Here is a 19758-nt window from a genome sequence, read left to right as displayed (position 1 = left end):
AGAGTGTGATGTTCCCCTTCCTGTGTCCATGTGATCTCATTGTTCAATTCCCACCTTTGAGTGAGAATATGCGGTGTTTGGTTTTTTGTTCTTGCGATAGTTTACTGAGAATGATGATTTCCAATTTCATCCATGTCCCTACAAAGGACATGAACTCATCATTTTTTATGGCTGCATAGTATTCCACGGTATATATGTGCCACGTTTTCTTGATGCAGTCTATCATTGTTGGACATTTGGGTTGGTTCCAAGTCTTTGCTATTGTGACTAATGCCGCAATAAACATACGTGTGCATGTGTCTTTATAGCAGCATGATTTATAGTCCTTTGGGTTTATATACCCAGTAATGGGATGGCTGGGTCAAATGGTATTTCTAGTTCTAGATCCCTGAGGAATCACCACACTGATTTCCACAATGGTTGAACTAGTTTACAGTCCCACCAACAGTGTAAAAGTGTTCCTATTTCTCCACATCCTCTCCAGCACCTGTTGTTTCCTGACTTTTTAATGATTGCCATTCTAACTGGTGTGAGATGGTATCTCATTGTGGTTTTGATTTGCATTTCTCTGATGGCCAGTGATGATGAGCATTTTTTTATGTGTTTTTTGGCTCCATAAATGTCTTCTTTTGAGAAGTGTCTGTTCATGTCCTTCACCCACTTTTTGATGGGGTTGTTTTTTTCTTGTAAATTTGTTTGAGTTCATTGTAGATTCTGGATATTAGCCCTTTGTCAGATGAGTAGGTTGTGAAAATTTTCTCCCATTTTGTAGGTTGCCTGTTCACTCTGATGGTAGTTTCTTTTGCTGTGCAGAAGCTCTTTAGTTTAATTAGATCCCATTTGTCAATTTTGGCTTTTGTTGCCATTGCTTTTGATGTTTTAGACATGAAGTCCTTGCCCATGCCTATGTCCTGAATGGTAATGCCTAGGTTTTCTTCTAGGGTTTTTATGGTTTTAGGTCTATCATTTAAGTCTTTAATCCATCTTGAATTGATTTTTGAATAAGGTGTAAGGAAGTGATCCAGTTTCAGCTTTCTACATATGGCTAGCCAATTTTCCCAGCACCATTTATTAAATAGGGAATCCTTTCCCCATTGCTTGTTTTTCTCAGGTTTGTCAAAGATCAGATAGTTGTAGATATGCAGCGTTATTTCTGAGGGCTCTGTTCTGTTCCATTGATCTACATCTCTGTTTTGGTACCAGTACCATGCTGTTTTGGTTACTGTAGCCTTGTAGTATAGTTTGAAGTCAGGTAGGGTGATGCCTCCAGCTTTGTTCTTTTGGCTTAGGATTGACTTGGCGATGCGGGCTCTTTTTTTGGTTCCATATGAACTTTAAAGTAGTTTTTTTTCCAATTCTGTGAAGAAAGTCCTTGGTAGCTTGATGGGGATGGCACTGAATCTGTAAATTACCTTGGGCAGTATGGCCATTTTCACGATATTGATTCTTCCTACCCATGAGCATGGAATGTTCTTCCATTTGTTTGTATCCTCTTTGATTTCCTTGAGCAGTGGTTTGTAGTTCTCCTTGAAGAGGTCCTTCACATCCCTTGTAAGTTGGATTCCTAGGTATTTTATTCTCTTTGAAGCAATTGTGAATGGGAGTTCACTCATGATTTGGCACTCTGTTTGTCTGTTGTTGGTGTATAAGAATGCTTGTGATTTTTGTACATTGATATTGTATCCTGAGACTTTGCTGAAGTTGCTTATCAGGTTATGGAGATTTTGGGCTGAGACAATGGGGCTTTCCAGATATACAATCATGTCTTCTGTAAACAGGGACAATTTGACTTCGTCTTTTCCTAATTGAATACCCTTTATTTCCTTCTCCTGCCTAATTGCCCTGGCCAGAACTTCCAACACTATGTTGAATAGGAGTGGTGAGAGAGGGCATCCCTGTCTTGTGCCAGTTTTCAAAGGGAATGCTTCCAGTTTTTGCCCATTCAGTATGATATTGGCTGTGGGTTTGTCATAGATAGCTCTTATTATTTTGAAATACATCCCATCAATACCTAATTTATTGAGAGTTTTTAGCATGAAGGGTTGTTGAATTTTGTCAAAGGCCTTTTCTGCATCTATTGAGATAATTCTGTGGTTTTTGTCTTTGGCTCTGTTTATATGCTGGATTACATTTATTGATTTGCGTATATTGAACCAGCCTTGCATCCCAGGGATGAAGCCCACTTGATCATGGTGGATAAGCTTTTTGATGTGCTGCTGGATTCGTTTTGCCAGTATTTTATTGAGGATTTTTGCATCAATGTTCATCAAGGATATTGGTGTAAAGTTCTCTTTTTTGGTTGTGTCTCTGCCCGGCTTAGGTATCAGAATGATGCTGGCCTCATAAATTGAGTTAGGGAGGATTCCCTCTTTTTCTATGGATTGGAATAGTTTCAGAAGGAATGGTACCAGTTCCTCCTTGTACCTCTGGTAGAATTCGGCTGTGAATCTGCCTGGTCCTGGACTCTTTTTGGTTGGTAAGCTATTGATTATTGCCACAATTTCAGATCCTGTTATTGGTCTATTCAGAGATTCAACTTCTTCCTGGTTTAGTCTCTGGAGAGTGTATGTGTTCAGGAATTTATCCATTTCTTCTAAATTTTCTAGTTTATTTGCGTAGAGGTGTTTGTGGTATTCTCTGATGGTAGTTTGTATTTCTGTGGGATCGGTGGTGATATCCCCTTTATCATTTTTTATTGCGTCTATTTGATTCTTCTCTCTTTTTTTTCTTTATTAGTCTTGCTAGCAGTCTATCTATTTTGTTGATCCTTTCAAAAAACCAGCTCCTGGATTCATTAATTTTTTGAAGGGTTTTTTGTGTCTCCATTTCCTTCAGTTCTGCTCTGATTTTAGTTATTTCTTGCCTTCTGCTAGCTTTTGAATGTGTTTGCTCTTGCTTTTCTAGTTCTTTTAATTGTGATGTTAGGGTGTCAATTTTGGATCTTTCCTGCTTTCTCCTGTGGGCATTTAGTGCTATAAATTTCCCTCTACACACTGCTTTGAATGTGTCCCAGAGATTCTGGTATGTTGTGTCTTTGTTCTCGTTGGTTTCAAAGAACATCTTTATTTCTGCCTTCATTTCATTATGTACCCAGTAGTCATTCAGGAGCAGGTTGTTCAGTTTCCATGTAGTTGAGTGGTTTTGAGTGAGATTCTTAATCCTGAGTTCTAGTTTGATTGCACTGTGGTCTGAGAGATAGTTTGTTATAATTTCTGTTCTTTTACATTTGCTGAGGAGAGCTTTACTTCCAAGTATGTGGTCAATTTTGGAATAGGTGTGGTGTGGTGCTGAAAAAAATGTATATTCTGTTGATTTGAGGTGGAGAGTTCTGTAGATGTCTATTAGGTTCGCTTGGTGCAGAGCTGAATTCAATTCCTGGGTATCCTTGTTGACTTTCTGTCTCGTTGATCTGTCTAATGTTGACAGTGGGGTGTTAAAGTCTCCCATTATTAATGTGTGGGAGTCTAAGTCTCTTTGTAGGTCACTCAGGACTTGCTTTATGAATCTGGGTGCTCCTGTATTGGGTGCATATATATTTAGGATAGTTAACTCTTCTTGTTGAATTGATCCGTTTACCATTATGTAATGGTCTTCTTTGTCTCTTTTGATCTTTGTTGGTTTAAAGTCTGTTTTATCAGAGACTAGGATTGCAACCCCTGCCTTTTTTTGTTTTCCATTTGCTTGGTAGATCTTCCTCCATCCTTTTATTTTGAGCCTATGTGTGTCTCTGCACATGAGATGGGTTTCCTGAATACAGCACACTGATGGGTCTTGACTCTTTATCCAATTTGCCAGTCTGTGTCTTTTAATTGGAGCATTTAGTCCATTTACATTTAAAGTTAATATTGTTATGTGTGAATTTGATCCTGTCATTATGATGTTAGCTGGTGATTTTGCTCGTTAGTTGATGCAGTTTCTTCCTAGTCTCAATGGTCTTTACATTTTGGCATGATTTTGCAGTGGCTGGTACCGGTTGTTCCATTCCATGTTTAGTGCTTCCTTCAGGAGCTCTTTTAGGGCAGGCCTGGTGGTGACAAAATCTCTCAGCATTTGCTTGTCTGTAAAGGATTTTATTTCTCCTTCACTTATGAGGCTTCGTTTGGCTGGATATGAAATTCTGGGTTGAAAATTCTTTTCTTTAAGAATGTTGAATATTGGCCCCCACACTCTTCTGGCTTGTAGGGTTTCTGCCAAGAGATCCGCTGTTAGTCTGATGGGCTTCCCTTTGAGGGTAACCCGACCTTTCTCTCTGGCTGCCCTTAACATTTTTCCCTTCATTTCAACTTTGGTGAATCTGACAATTATGTGTCTTGGAGTTGCTCTTCTCGATGAATATCTTTGTGGCGTTCTCTCTATTTCCTGAATCTGAACGTTGGCCTGCCTTGCTAGATTGGGGAAGTTCTCCTGGATAATATCCTGCAGAGTGTTTTCCAACTTGGTTCCATTCTCCCCATCACTTTCAGGTACACCAATCAGACGTAGATTTGGTCTTTTCACATAGTCCCATATTTCTTGGAGGCTTTGCTCATTTCTTTTTATTCTTTTTTCTCTAAACTTCCCTTCTCGCTTCATTTCATTCACTTCATCTTCCATCGCTGATACCCTTTCTTCCAGTTGATCGCATGGCTCCTGAGGCTTCTGCATTCTTCACGTAGTTCTCGAGCCTTGGTTTTCAGCTCCATCAGCTCCTTTAAGCACTTCTCTGTATTGGTTATTCTAGTTATACATTCTTCTAAATTTTTTTCAAAGTTTTCAACTTCTTTGCCTTTGGTTTGAATGTCCTCCCGTAGCTTGGAGTAATTTGATCGTCTGAAGCCTTCTTCTCTCAGCTCGTCAAAGTCATTCTCCGTCCAGCTTTGTTCCGTTGCTGGTGAGGAACTGCGTTCCTTTGGAGGAGGAGAGGTGCTCTGCTTTTTAGAGTTTCCAGTTTTTCTGTTCTGTTTTTTCCCCATCTTTGTGGTTTTATCTACTTTTGGTCTTTGATGATGGTGATGTACAGATGGGTTTTTGGTGTGGATGTCCTTTCTGTTTGTTAGTTTTCCTTTTAACAGACAGGACCCTCAGCTGCAGGTCTGTTGGAGTACCCTGCCGTGTGAGGTGTCAGTGTGCCCCTGTTGGGGGGTGCCTCCCAGTTAGGCTGCTCGGGGGTCAGGGGTCAGGGACCCACTTGAGGAGGCAGTCTGCCCGTTCTCAGATCTCCAGCTGCGTGCTGGGAGAACCACTGCTCTCTTCAAAGCTGTCAGACAGGGACATTTAAGTCTGCAGAGGTTACTGTTGTCTGTTTGTCTGTGCCCTGCCCCCAGAGGTGGAGCCTACAGAGGCAGGCAGGCCTCCTTGAGCTGTGGTGGGCTCCACCCAGTTCGAGCTTCCGGGCTGCTTTGTTTACCTAAGCGAGCCTGGGCAATGGTGGGCGCCCCTCCTCCAGCCTGGCTACCGACTTGCAGTTTGATCTCAGACTGCTGTGCTAGCAATCAGCGAGACTCCGTGGGCATAGGACCCTCCGAGCCAGGTGCGGGATATAATCTTGTGGTGTGCCGTTTTTTAAGCCCGTCGGAAAAGCGCAGTATTCGGGTGGGAGTGACCCGATTTTCCAGGTGCCGTCCATCACCCCTTTGTTTGACTAGGAAAGGGAACTCCCTGACCCCTTGAGCTTCCCGAGTGAGGCAATGCCTCACCCTGCTTCGGCTTGTGCACGGTGGGCGCACCCACTGACCTGCGCCCACTGTCTGGCACTCCCTAGTGAGATGAACCCGGTACCTCAGATGGAAATGCAGAAATCGCCTGTCTTCTGTGTCGCTCACACTGGGAGCTGTAGACCGGAGCTGTTCCTATTCGGCCATCTTGGCTCCTCCGGTGACCTTAAAGTTCTAATTCTATTTTCATTAGCCTTTAGACACTAGCACAATTTCTAAAACATGGTAGTTGCTCAAAAAAAAATGTATTTAATATAACGAATGAAGGTATAAACCTATAACCAAATTATGTGGGGGAAGAAAAAGGAAAGTAAAGAACAAGTTCCAAAGTTCTAAAATCATTTTGATGACTGAAAAATAAGTTTAGTCAGTGGAAGCATTTAGATTCTGTTGGGCTATCAGCATTAAATCTTGCAAAGTCTAGTCCAGTTTTTCAGTTGTGCCATTGGCTTTCTGTTATTCAGTCTTTTTTTGCATTCTATTGTCTGTGATGTGCCATTACTTAAAGACATAGGTGGTAACTGGGTATACGTGAAAAAAACCTGTGTTCCCTAGGCGAGTCTCAAACTCTTGGTCTCAAGTGATCTCCCCACTTTGGCTTCCCAAAGGATTGGAATTACAGGTGTGAGCCACCATTCTTGGCTGAGTTAGTGTTAATTGTGTCCTGTATGGATGATATACAGAGTACTTTGAAGAACATATTTTAGAAATATACCTTTATTCCAAAGGGATAATAAGGAGGCTTCCACAATAACAAGGTGTGTGTGTATGTATGTGCATGTATTTGTGTGTATGTGTATAATATGTGGAACAGAAAGAGATGTGATAGAAAATTGTGATTAATTAGGATTTTTCTTTGTTGTTATTTTAAACTTTTAATTTTAAAATAATTTCAGACTTACGAGAAGCTGCATAAATAAGAGAATTCCTATGTGCTCTTCATCTAGCTCCCTCCAATGATAACATAACGATAACCATAGTCATGGAGCTGTACCAAGGCCAGGACATTGACATTGGTATGATAGTATTAATTAAACAAATGTATTTATTTAGACTTGAAGAAGATGGCCTAATCTTCATGTTTGGGCAACCAACTCTGAAAGCCTAAACTCTCTCTCCTCACATACCTGAGTCTGACCTTGAAATCTCTGACCTGGAAGGTAGGTAGGCAGGGGAAATGATTCTTAAGTCTGTGCAATGGTTTGTGGTTTTATATTATTCTCAAATTGCCCTGATGCAGAGCTGGGACCAAACTCTCAGCCACAACATAAGGAATTCAGCTGGGCTTGCAGTCAGTCACCTTGCTAGTTCACTTACATTCAACCTGGCATGATGCAAGTAAATTTCAAATATGATATTCTTTTTTAGTTTTGATGTTCACAGGTGGTCTGCTTCTCTCCCTGCCCAGCCTGCAGCTGAGGTGAGTCCAGGGCAGTTTCACTGAGAAGCAAAACCTGAGCTTTGTACCTTCTTGCCAGTGAGGACCCATGGGTGATAAGTGCTTGAGTCTCCAGGGGCCTGTGGCATTCCCTGGTACATTTCTTAAATAGGCGTTTGCCATGCTTTCCAAAAGCAAGTTGGTGGTGGTTCTTTTGTGTATCACCTGTAGCTTCTTAGAGCGCTTCACCCTCAGGCTGTCTTCCCTCAGCAGCTCCAGCTCCGGAGTCTAGGACTTCTTTGACAGGAGCTCCTTGTTATCTGTCAAGAGGCTGCATCTTTCCAGAAGACATAACCTGTGTGAATCTGTTCTCATTCTCTCTGGTTGGGAAGTCTTTGCTCTCAAACAGCAAGGGACTGTTCACTTCCAGAGCTCAGAGTCTCCCATGTTTATGTAGGTGTTGGAAATTTCCTATAACCAGACCCCTGTTTAGGATAGTCCGTGGAAAAACTCTGAAGAAGAGCCCTTTGGAGACATGCATTTAATTTGAGGAGAATTTGTTCTGGTTTGTGAATCAATTTTGTAAGGAATTCTGTTTAAAGGCCCAACCTCAGTTCTCAAGCTTTCCCCACTCAATAGGTAATGCATATTTAAGAGCTGCCTGAAGGGTTAACTCACTTTTTTTCTAGTGACTATAGATGTACACCTCAAGGAGCTGGCTTACTTGGGCAGTTAATTTCTCTCTGGAATTTCTCTTGCTTGAATGTCCATAATACATTGACTTCCGCAAATAATTGATTTCCACACAAAATTCCCTGCTTGCCTTAAACCTTCCCCGCAAGCTGCCAGCTGCCTGCATAAATATGTGGTTTTTCCTCATGAATCATTTGTAGCATACACAATTGGAGTTGAGAGTAAGAAGGGCCAGGAAGGAATGCGATCTGACTGTTAAAGTGCTTCTTTTGTAAGAAAAGTGAGTCTTATCAGCTAACAGAGGACCAAAGTTGCAGTCTCCTGCCCACCTATAAATGCGCTTGGAAAGTGTTTATATGTGATCACCCAGATGTGCCATAAATGCTAATGGCACTAGGGCAGATGATTCAACAAACCCATTTATTCAGGGAAACACGTGCTTTCTGAGCATCTGTGCTGGCAAAGGTGATGAATAAGGATGCAGTCCTTGGAATATATTTTTTAAATTTAAGAATCTTTTCTTTCCTCATAAAATCTTGGTAATGAAATAGCATTTCCTTGGTAATGAAATAGAGCTGTGTGGACAAGTGAGATGATCACTTTTAGCTTCCAGTCCACATTTCTCATTGTATACTTGCAGACAAGGTGGGTGTTTAAGAAGCCCCCTTCTCTGGCCCTCGGTTCTTATGTACCGCTGACCTTTCCCAAGGCTCGTGGATATAGAGAGACACACCTAGAGAAGGTGGAGTTTCACTTCCCTGGGGAAAGTTTGTGTTGTGTAATCGTGACTGAGAACAACAGCTGTGGTATTTCTTTGTATATTTACAAGGGCTGAAGAGATACACTGGGCACTTATATTTGCCAACTAATAGACAGTGATTCTTCTTGAGGCCAAGAAGCAGGAGTGCATACTCTGTTTTCTAGCACAAGAGAAAAATTGAGATAGCTGATTTAATGCTAATAAATGTTTTTTTAATGGGAATGCCTGATGCCTCATCTAATGGTTTTAAATGATATCAATAGTTTCCTAGTAAAGACTATTAAAGCATTCTTATTGTAATTAACCATGTTTTCATATTTAGGCTTGTCTTTCCATCAAAATTTGGAGATGGGATACTGGAAAATGAGTGTGGGTTATTTTGCTAATATGTGACTCTAGTGTAGACTATAGACCAAGGTTTCTCAACTACGTCAATATTGACATTTTGGGCTGGGTAATTCCTTGTTGTCGAGCCTATCCTCTGTATAACAGCATCCCTGGTATCTATGCACTGAATACCAGTAGCCCTCTTCTCTCTTCTTCATCCTCCAAGTTGTTACAATAAAAAATGTATCCAGAGGCTGTTAAATGTTCCGTAGGGAACAAAGTCATCCCTGATTGACAACCACCACTCTAGACTAGGCCACCCTAAGACCATTGAAGTCTTAGAAATGGACCTGATTCTTTGAAGTCGTGTTGGCATCTTTGATAGTGATTCATCTTAATATTCAGTGATATCCAAAAGTCACTTTTGGTGAGCACCCTGTGGTAGGTGAGACATGTGATTAGAATTCTAAGTGCTTTTAGGAAATTGGAGAATTGCTCAGACTCCAAAATAATGAAGTGCAGGAGTGACTCGGCCAATTAGTCCACAAAGGAACAAAACATCCTGTAACCGAATGAAAAATGAGGAAGAAATGGCTGTCTATTTACAAATACCCAGGGTAAGAACCTTTGGGACCCACAGTGAATTGAAGCTAAAGCTAAATAAACAGCCCGGGGCAATTGTGTCAGTATGTGCTGGCCTCCCTGACCAGGTCCTGGCTGCTGCCTGCTGGTCAGGCTTCTAGTTTCAGGGGGAACTCTGGCCCTGACTCACACTTCCCCCAAAACTGAAGGCCTCCAGGGGTTGAGGCATTGGTTCTTTCTGTCACACAAGGCAGGGAATTGGGCGTTATTGGGTTAAGAGCAATCTTTTTCAGTTTTCTCCCCCATACTGTCTTTGCTTGGCTGAATGTGTGTGTGTGTGTGTGTGTGTGTGTGTGTGTGTGTTCCTTGTGGAACATGTGGTACATTCAGGAAGGAATAGGGTCTTTAAGTTCTTCTCCTGTTGGGGGTGCCGCTATATTATCACTGCCAGTGGATCAGCCATGTTCAGAGAGTTACCCTTAATAATACCTAAAGTTGGCTGGGCACGGTGCCTCATGCCTATAATCCCAGCACTTTGGGAGGCCAAGGTGGGCGGATCACCTGAGGTCGGGAGTTTGAGACCAGCTTGACCAACATGGAGAAACCCCATTTCTACTAAAAATACAAAATTAGCCAGGCATGGTGGTGCATGCCTGTAATCCCAGCTACTCAGGAGGCTAAGGCAGGAGAATCGCTTGAATCCGGGAGGTGGAGGTTGCGGTGAGCCGAGATCGTGCCATTGCACTCCAGCCTGGGCAACAAGAGTGAAACTCCATCTCAAAAAAGAAAACAAACAAACAAACAAAAAAACAAAACCCCAAAACCTGAAGTTTTCCTTTCATTTGGAAATTAAAGTCAATAAAAATATTAGTCTAGAATGACTGAAGCCATAGGATGAAATGAGTTTACTTAGTCTAAGGATAAAGAAATGGAGAATAGCTACAAGTAAAAGGGTATGGAGTCCTCACTCTCAATCCATCCTTACTGAGAATGTAGTAAAACTCCCTGAGCTGTGTGAAAGGCTAGTGCAAGACCCTGTCCTTGGATGGGTCAGAACTTCCTCATTAAATTCTAACCCTTGTCTGCATTCAGTCCATAGCCCTACTGTCTGCACTGATAGTAGATGACAACTGCAGATAATCTCAGTCTTTTCATCTGTCATTGCTCAAAATTCCTGTGTCAGAAGCCAGTCCTCATCAACATGTCTCAGCCTTAATAACACTTGATCTCCATAATGCTGAAATTCCAGAACCCTCATCCTCCTTAAATGTACTCTTCAAAATGTCATGTCTTCTTCCTACTCTTGAGAAATGTCCCACACCCCTACCCATGTATCTCTCTGTGCACGCTAAGCTGTGCATGCTTTTTTCCCCATGTGGTGAGAATGAGAAGGATTTTACATTCTCTGGATTTGGGGTGTGAAAAGAGCAACTCCTTAGTTAAATCTGGCCTGCAAGATGCTCTCCAGATTTGGAGAAATCAAACACTACCTCCGGTGCCTTAAGGATTAATTCACTTTTTTTTTTTTTCTGGTGACTATAGATGCACACCTCTAGGAGCTGGCTTACTTGGACAGTTAATTTCTCTCTGGAATTTCCCTTGCGTGAATGTCCATGATACATTGACTTCTGCAAAGGATGTTGTTCAATATGTTGTCTCCACTACTGGGGAGGCCACAGCAAATGCCTGTTCTGTCCGTGACCGGGTGACAAGACTTTTCTTTGTACTCTCTTGTTTATGTTTCTTCACTTGCACCCTATTATTGGGCATCCTGCCTTTGGGTCCTACCTTCATTTCTCTACTCTAGTCTCTAACTTTTCCAGACTTGGACTTGGATGGAGCTGGCTCTGACAACTATTTGCTCTGTGACTTTGGGAAAGTTACTCAACATCTCTGAGCTTCAGTTTCTTTGCTATGAAACTGTAATAATAATACAAAACTCATAAAACTATTGTAAAAATAAATGAGACTCTAAAATCCAGTACCTGGACTGTAGTGCCTTCTCTGTAGATTTTCACTATGAGTGTTATTATTCTACTCATCATTACTTAAAAAAAAAATACTTCTAAGGGAAAAAAAAAATCCACCATAAATATAACTTGCACTGAGCTGGGCAGCATTTTTGCTGGGTACCTGGCAATGGATTCTCCCCCTGATTTCTAGGTCTCTATCCTCCTTCAGTTTTCAGCAGTGGCTTCCATTTGCAGTGGGTTCCCAAAGCAACTCATGGCAAAAAACTTCACCAGGAAGTGGTTTTTCTAGTGTCTCTCTCCTCTTTGAATGTCTCCTAGGAACGTTAGTAACCCTTAGCGTTACTCTCTCAATCACCTGTAGAGAAGTAGTTCTCAAAATGGGGTCAAAATATCACCTGCAGCAGACCTATCAGAGCACCTTGTGATGGCCAAGAGTAAAGAATACTGTCCCTCATCCCTTCCTCATCACCCCCCTAATAAATCAAAATATCTAAAAACCTTTGGCTAATATACCCCCAGGTAAAGCCTGCCAGATAAAATACAGCATATTTGGTCAAATTTAAATTTCAGATAGTGTTTGCGACACACTTATACTAAAATATTTTATTTTTTATCTGAAATTTAAATTTCACTGGGCATTCTGTGTTTTTATTTGCTAAATATGACAACTCTACCAGGTTGCACACGAAAGTTTAAGAAACTGTTCCAAGGGGATGCTCACAGCGTAGTCCCCACTGAGCCCTGCATAGAGGGCTGCACTGAAGTATTGTTTTTTAAAGAAAGGCATTTAATGTCTTGTTGAGTGGCACAGTGTCATGGTCCTTATGACTCCCCATTCTCTTTACTGTGACCCTAATGCCAGTGTTCAGGATGAGCTCTCCAAGCCCCATAGTTTGTGTTCCCGGGATTGAGTGACTTCCAAGGAGGATACTCCAGACATTCCTTGTCTCGCACCAGCCAGGCCATGGAAAACCCCCAGGTGATCAGGATTGAATCATGTGGGAGCCTTGGAGACTCCCTTCATCTATGTAGCACAGGGCTTACACCTGAGCAGCCTATTCCTTAACTTCTGTTCTCCAGGTAGACATGGGCATCTTGACTTTGGACAACCACTCAGACTGAGAGAGGTCAGATGCACGTGGGCACATAGGAAGTAGTCTCATAGCTTGATCGATTGGCCCTTTGTTCCTCCCACTAATAGCATCACTGCAGTGCAGCAGCCTGATAGGGCCCCGATTTTTCTCAGAGTTCTTTCTCCCTGATGATAAAGAGAAGGCTTGGGATCCTTAAGATGTGAGCGTGTGACACTGAGAGAACTCAGATGTGATTCAGGAAAGCAGAAATAGAAACTTTCATAGAATAGCCAACATGTTATTTACTTTGTTGCCTGTAGTTGAGGTTGCAAATTCAAATACTGCAGAGACTAGGCAGGGATCATAAATGAGTGAACCAGGAAGGGTGAGGACTGTGGAAAAATCATCCACAGTCCAAGAAGGAAGGCCCTTCTTATCTTCACCTGACCTGTGGCTACTTCACAGGAATTTGGGCTCAGAAAAGCTGAAAGTCTGAATTTTTTATTAAATCTCTTGGTTTGAACATGTTGGAACCAAAAAAATATGAACATTGGGTAGGCCAAAAAAAAATACATCTGTGTACAGTCTTAAACCTTTAGGAAGTCAGTTTTTTAATTTGTCTTAAGTCTATGTTACATAGGGATGAACATATTGTAGGTACTTCATTGAATTTATAAAGATAACCTCATTGTGTTCAGTTTGATCAGAATTAGATCCCCAAACTCATATGGTCCAAGAGAGAGAAGTCAGATTTTATATGAACACATAAAATACATGAAATTATTTAGATAGTAAGACCTATAAAGAAATATCAAGGCGACTTAATAGTCTATTCAGGACAAGAGCACTTTGAAGAGATTTGAGTTGTAGTTGTACTCAGTCACCCTGTCTTGGTACTAAGTCATGACTGGTCCAATCATGTGGCCTTCAGCCAATAGACAAATCGTTGAGTTGTTCAAAGAGCCAGAGAGAACACATTGTGTAGGCTTGACTTCAAGGTACACCTTTGCCTTGGAGAGCTACCATATACTGTTGCATTCACCAAAGAGGAGAATTTTAGATGTCATGAGTAAACTCACTGTGGAAGCTTAGAAAGAGGCTTGAGCATGAGATACCAGTTATTAAGATGGGCAAATTGCAGTCTAGTTGAGCTGGCTGGAGGAAGAAGAATGACAATATTTTTATTAGTTCATTCTCGCATTGCTATAAAGAAATACCTGAGGCTGGGTAACTTATAAAGAAAAGAGGTTTAATTGGCTCATGGTTCTGCAGGCTATACAGGAAACATGGAAGCATCAATTTCTGGGGAGGTCTCAGGTCTCAGGGAGCCTTTACTCACGGCAGAAGGCAAAGCAGGAGCAGGCAACTTACATGGCAGGAACAGAGGCAAGACAAGGTGGGAGCCACAAGGTGCTGTACACTTTTAAACTACCAGATCTCATGAGAACTCACTTACTATGGTGAGGACAGTACTAAGGGGGGACAGTGCTAAACCATTCACGAGAAACTGACCCCGTGATCCAGTCACCTCCCACCAGGCCCTACCTCCAATACTGGGGATTACAATTCAACCTGAGATATGGGCAGGGGGACAAATCCAAACCATATCACTATTTTTGTTCCCAAAAGGAAAAAAAAAGAATAAATGAGTCTATAATAGAGTTTTAATGTACTTTGGCAGAAAGTGAATATAAAATTGGGATGAGTACAAACAAGAGTCTTTCTTTCCAGCAACCTTATCATACATGGGGTAACTATTTTTTAACTCTTCTTAATTTCTGTAGGGGAACAGAGTGTGTGGTGCTGGCTATGGCTACTTTTTCCATCTCATGACCAACCAAACATCACAAGCTCCGCTTCTTTCCTTCACTCAGAACATTGCACATTCTTGTACCAGGTAACTTTGGGGAAATTCATCTATGTTTTGGCTGTCTTATGATTTCACATTTTACTGTAGAATGCTCACAATGAGAGCACTTTGGGCATTTGTTGGAGATTGGGTGATGTTCCTGTGCATTTTCTGAAACTGCTTTTTTGAGGTATAATTGACATACAAAAAGCTGTCCATATTTAATGTATGCAACTTGATGAGTTTGGAGATAAGTATACACCCCTGCAACCATCATCACCATCTGTGTCACAAACATATCTATCACCTCTAAAAGTTTTCCTCCAGAGCCTCTTTATTTGAATTATTATTATTACTGTAAGAACGTTTGACACAAAATCTGACCTCTTAGCAAATTTTTAAGTATAGAATATAGTATTGTTAATTTTGCTGTATTCTATACTTTGGCATTTTGCCATACTGTATATCTCTAGGACTTATTCATTTTGCATAGCTGAAACTTTGTACCCTTTGACTAATACTTCCCATTTTCCCCTCCTTCCAGCCCCTGCCAACCACCATTCTACTCTCTGCTTCTATAAGTTTGAATATTTTAGATTTCTCATTTAAATGATATGATGTACTATTGCCCTTCTGTGTCTGGCTTACCTCACCCAGCACAGTGTCCCCCAGGTTTATCTGTATTGTCACAAATGGCAGGATTTCCTTCTCTTTAAAGGCTGAATAATATTCCATTGCAAATATACACCACATTTTCCCCAGCCATTAACCTATTGATGGACATCTTGGCTGCCTCTATGTCTTGGCTTTTGTATATAATTGTGTTAGCATTATTTTCTAGATCATAACAGTTCGATGGTAAAGAGAAGAGAGTCACATGAAAAGGCAGAAGGACAGAATGTACCTTTTGTGGCCAGAGATAATTCAATAGAGAGAGCAATTAAACTTCCAAATATGCAGAGCCCCTGGGAGGCTGCTAGGCTTGGGCTCTGGAGTAATCTGCATTTTGTTGGGATTCGGGAGCAGGTCACAGAGGGTAAAAGTGGGAGGGCTGAGGGGTAGGCAAGAACAGTTAGGGGGAGGGTCACAGATTCCATCTACCTTCATTCTCCCTAATACATTACTTTTACTTTGTATTTTTCAACAAGAAAAAGTAGAAAGTTAGAAACATAAAAATTGGCTTAATTTCATTCTGTTTCACTTTTTAGGTATGGTCTCTTTGTATACCCTAAATTTCAGCCACCTTGGGATAATGTCACTGGCACCACTCTGTTCCAGAGCTTCACAGTTTGGGAAAGTGCAGGTGGTGCCCAGGTAAGCTTTTTTGTTGTTGTTGTTATTGTTGTTGTTTTTAAAATTAAAACTGTCACTTGTTTTCTCACAGCAATTCATTATGCATATCTACTTAAATGGGATTGACTTGCCCTTGAGGGGAGCATTGCTGTGCTGTCACAATTTTAAAGCACCAATGGATCATAGGTGCTTGTAGAATAGTTGTTAAACAAATTCCTAGTCACTAATCCAGGGTTAGGTCATTTTCTCCATTGGGTGTTTTTGGCAACCCTAGAAGAGAACAACAGAATCATAAAGATTTATAATCAGGGGAGATCACAGAGGTTCCCTATTCCTTCTTTCCATCTCTACTTAGAGATAGAAATTAAGGCTAAGAACGGGAAGGGACTTGTCAAAGATCACACAATTGGTTAGTAGTACAACCAAGTGCAGAATTTAGACTCCAAATGTTGTGCATTTGATGTCCCGATATCCTGAATAATACATGCCCCAGTCTTAAGAAAAAGCACTGTTCGTCATTGATACACAAACATTCTAGCTCAAGATACCACTCTTACTTTAGAAGAAATAAGCTAAATTTTCTTCTATTTTTTTCTTAAAGGAAAAGAAAAGGTTCATGTTCAATCATTTACTCTTCATTATCCCAATGATTTTCTTATAAGGAAGCTTTGCATGCTCACTGCTAACAGCAACATGTAAAAATTATTCAGGGTCACTATTTGATGCAATACAGACAAAATTACATACACTTTGTCTCTGCCTAGAAATCTGGAACATAAGATATATAGGTGAAGAACTATGTTTGTAGAGCCTTCAGGAAATAGAATACAAACATATAATAATGTCACAATAAGAAAGTCAAACATTTGTTTCATATATCCCATAAAAGAAAGATAACTGTGGATGAAGAAAGCCCAAAAATATACAATTAGGACAGCTAACAGGTGGAGTCCGAAATGTATTTAGTATTTTGTTCTCATTTAATTTTATAAAATGCTTCCCATGAGCACTATAAATATACCCTATAGGGGTAACAAATCTAGTGGAAACATTTGTTGAGTGCCCTCTTATGCAGAGAAGTGATTTATACCTGCAGGGGCTTAAACTCTGTCTCCCTGCTCTTGAGTAGCCTGGTTCTAGAGGAAATAATCTAGTAAAATGAAAATATTAAAAGATGCTAATAAAGCCATTTTTTGAAATTCTGCAATCAGAAATGCTAAACCTATGAAGGAAAAAAATACAGAACTACAACTTGAACTCTTGTGCACTCAAATTTGATTAATCAAAAAGTTTAAATAATAAAAATATTCTTGGAATTGCACTTTTATAGTGAAGAATAAGGGGAAAATTAAGTAACATAATAGCAGCAAATTTAAAACGTAAACTTCCCTCGAACTATACCAAAAAAGAAGAATGAAGTAAGAGGATTTATCCTTCCCTATTTTAAAACTTGCTACAAAGCAACAATAATCAAGACAGTGTGGTATATGGGCACAAAGATAGATATATATGTCAATGAAATAGAAGTGAGAGTCTGGAGATAAACCCATATATCTATAAACAAATGATTTTTGACAAAGGATGCCAAGACCATTCAATGTGGGAAATATAGTCTTTTCAACAAATGGTGCTTGTATAACTAGATGGTCACACACAAAAGAATTAAGTTGTATCCTACCTTAATTTATGCTACTTACAAAAATTAACTTCAAATGAGTCATTATGTATTAATAATAAATAAAATTAGCAAAAAATTGGTCAAAGACGTAAACATAAGCACAACTCTGTCTCCCAGACCAGTGGTGTCTTAGTCCCTTTTGTGCTGCTATAACAGAATAATAAAATTTGGGAAAATTATAATAAACAGAAATTTATTAGCTCATGATTCTGGAGGCTTGGAAGTCCAAGATTGAGAGGCCAGCATCTTCTGAGGACCTTCTTGCTGCATCAGTCTATAGCAGAAGGGCAAAGAAGTCAAAGAAGGAGCAAGTGATAGAACTCACAGCCCCAAGTTTTTTTTGTAATCAGCACTAATCCATTCATAACCTACACACCTCCTAACACTGTTATATCAGGGATTAAGCTTCCAAAACATGCTTTTTCGGGGACAGGCTTAAACCATAGCAAGTAGTAGACTTACAACTCTACCAAGCTAATTTTGTTATTATATGACCCCTGTTTGGGTTATCATAAACATATATGTACATAACTTATGTTGAAATTACAAACAGTGACTCTGTAGTCATGCTGAGCTGCTTATTTCATATTTGCAATCTTCTGACAGTATGAGTTAATATATAATACATTGAAGAAAATGTTAAGCACTAGAGTTCTTGGATGCAATGTTTTTCTCTGTTACCTTTGTGTGATTTGGCCACTCCAAGTTTATTTTAGATATGTGGAGAATTCATATTGATCTTTTTAATGTATTGGTTATTATGAGGAGAAATGAAAAGTACAAAGGGGTGTTACCAAAGGAGACTCATTAGTGCTGACCTCACAGCAACTTGAGGATGCCTATACTGACATTGATGGACAAAAGGTGCTTTAATACAATATAGCATGCTTCTTTCTACTTAATCAATAATTTTAAAAGCTACAGGAAGTCCGCAAGAAAAACCAAGCCTCAGACCTTTGCTGTAACATGCTGTATTTTATAGATTTTTAGAAGTAGCAATCTTCGCCTGAAAAACTTCAAAGTTTATTCATGCAGAGATTTTGGAATTGACGTCTTGGAAAGTGATGCAAATACTTCAGTTACTGACAGCTTATTACTTGGTCATTTTGCCCACAAGGTAAGTGCCTTAGTGTGGTTGTTTTAGGCTGTCAATCACAACAAAATTACATGTGCTGGGCCCCCTGATGATCCAGGATATGCAATTTTAATAGCATTCTTTAGTGAATCTCATATTTAATTAGTAAAAGTTAAAAGACCTTTTTATTTGTAATAGTGGTGATATTGATAATAGAACTCATATATACACAGTGCTTTAGTGTTATGAGTACAGATAAATCACAGAAGTCATAAGTAGCTGACAGAATTTTATTTGGTTGCAATTTAGAATTATTACTCATAGTAAGAGGTCAAATCATGAAATAGAAATTTGCCTAGTTCGTTATTTTGTATGTGATTCACTAATATGTGCCTAAGTATGGATTTCCACATGATAAAAATCAGACTCTAGATGACTTCTCAGGGTACAAGGATGCAGATGGGGCAAAGAGTACTCCCGGGTGGGAAGCACTAGTTCCTAAGTGGGGGTTCCTGGCTGCCATTGGTCTCTTAGGCTTCAGGTCTATAATGGATCCCCTATGTTCTTGTTTTTATTAGAACTACATTCATACTAGTCATCACATCATTATGGAAATCATAGATTTATTGGGAGCCAAGGAAGAATATTCTCTTCAGTTTGTTCCTGAGTGCTTAGTTCAATTGAAATTTAAATGATAAGTTTTGATTCTTATACTTCCATTGAAGATTATTTATTTCACAGCTATAGATAAAAATGTGAAGATTTTAAAAGTCATTTTCTTATTGAGCTACATTTTCCTGGATTTAACTCTCAACTTTTCTTAGTAAAATCTCCTTTGAACTATACTTTTCAGGAGATAAATAAGTGCCAGTTTTTTTTTCCCTCTAAAAGGATTACCACCTTGAGAGATGATTCTTCCTTTCAGACTGTGTAGTTTTCAAGAGAGGATGGTACCCAGATTTAGATTCTGTGATGCTGTGGTACATCAGAGGTCCTTAACTTTTCCAGAAATAACCTTAGAGTAGATGTTAAAAACAAAATTCCCAGCAAACTGAGTAACTGTCTTGGTAAATTAATGTTGCAGTATCTTAATTGATGTTAAATAGACATCATAATTAATGGGAAAGTGACAAAAATTAAGATGTAAATTATGACAAAAGGGTGGCTATCATGAGATAATCAAAAATAATCACACCCTTGGGGTGTAATTCACTAGGAATGTAGTACAGCTGAGGGCCTTTCAGTCTCTTAAGTAAGTGCAGGACAAGAGTCCCCTGGTGGAAAATGTTAAACAGTTTTGTTCTAGGGGATGTCTAGATGCTGGTTAGTTATCCAAATCATAAAACCACATAATTAAAGAGCCAACTATTACCTAAGAGATGAT

At 39.9% G+C, this 19758-nt stretch overlaps 1 protein-coding gene across 23 annotated transcripts in view; it reads left to right on the top strand.

Moving 5' to 3' along the window:
• PKHD1 (PKHD1 ciliary IPT domain containing fibrocystin/polyductin) overlaps nt 1-19758 on the top strand; it is a 472317-nt gene that overhangs the window by 186107 nt on the left and 266452 nt on the right. For all 23 annotated transcript variants that reach the window (XR_001743469.2, XM_017010944.3, XM_017010945.3 and 20 more), the window contains 3 exons: nt 14264-14376; nt 15537-15642; nt 18282-18416. Coding sequence is in view for 22 of the 23 variants with exons in the window: in XM_017010944.3 (XP_016866433.1) it covers nt 14264-14376; nt 15537-15642; nt 18282-18416 (354 nt within the window). In the remaining variant the exon portion in view is untranslated. The remainder of the gene's footprint in view (nt 1-14263; nt 14377-15536; nt 15643-18281; nt 18417-19758) is intronic.

The sequence above is a fragment of the Homo sapiens genome, chromosome 6 (assembly GCF_000001405.40).
Source record: "Homo sapiens chromosome 6, GRCh38.p14 Primary Assembly".
Lineage (NCBI taxonomy): Eukaryota > Metazoa > Chordata > Mammalia > Primates > Hominidae > Homo > Homo sapiens.
This window is presented reverse-complemented; position numbering and strand designations above follow the sequence as displayed.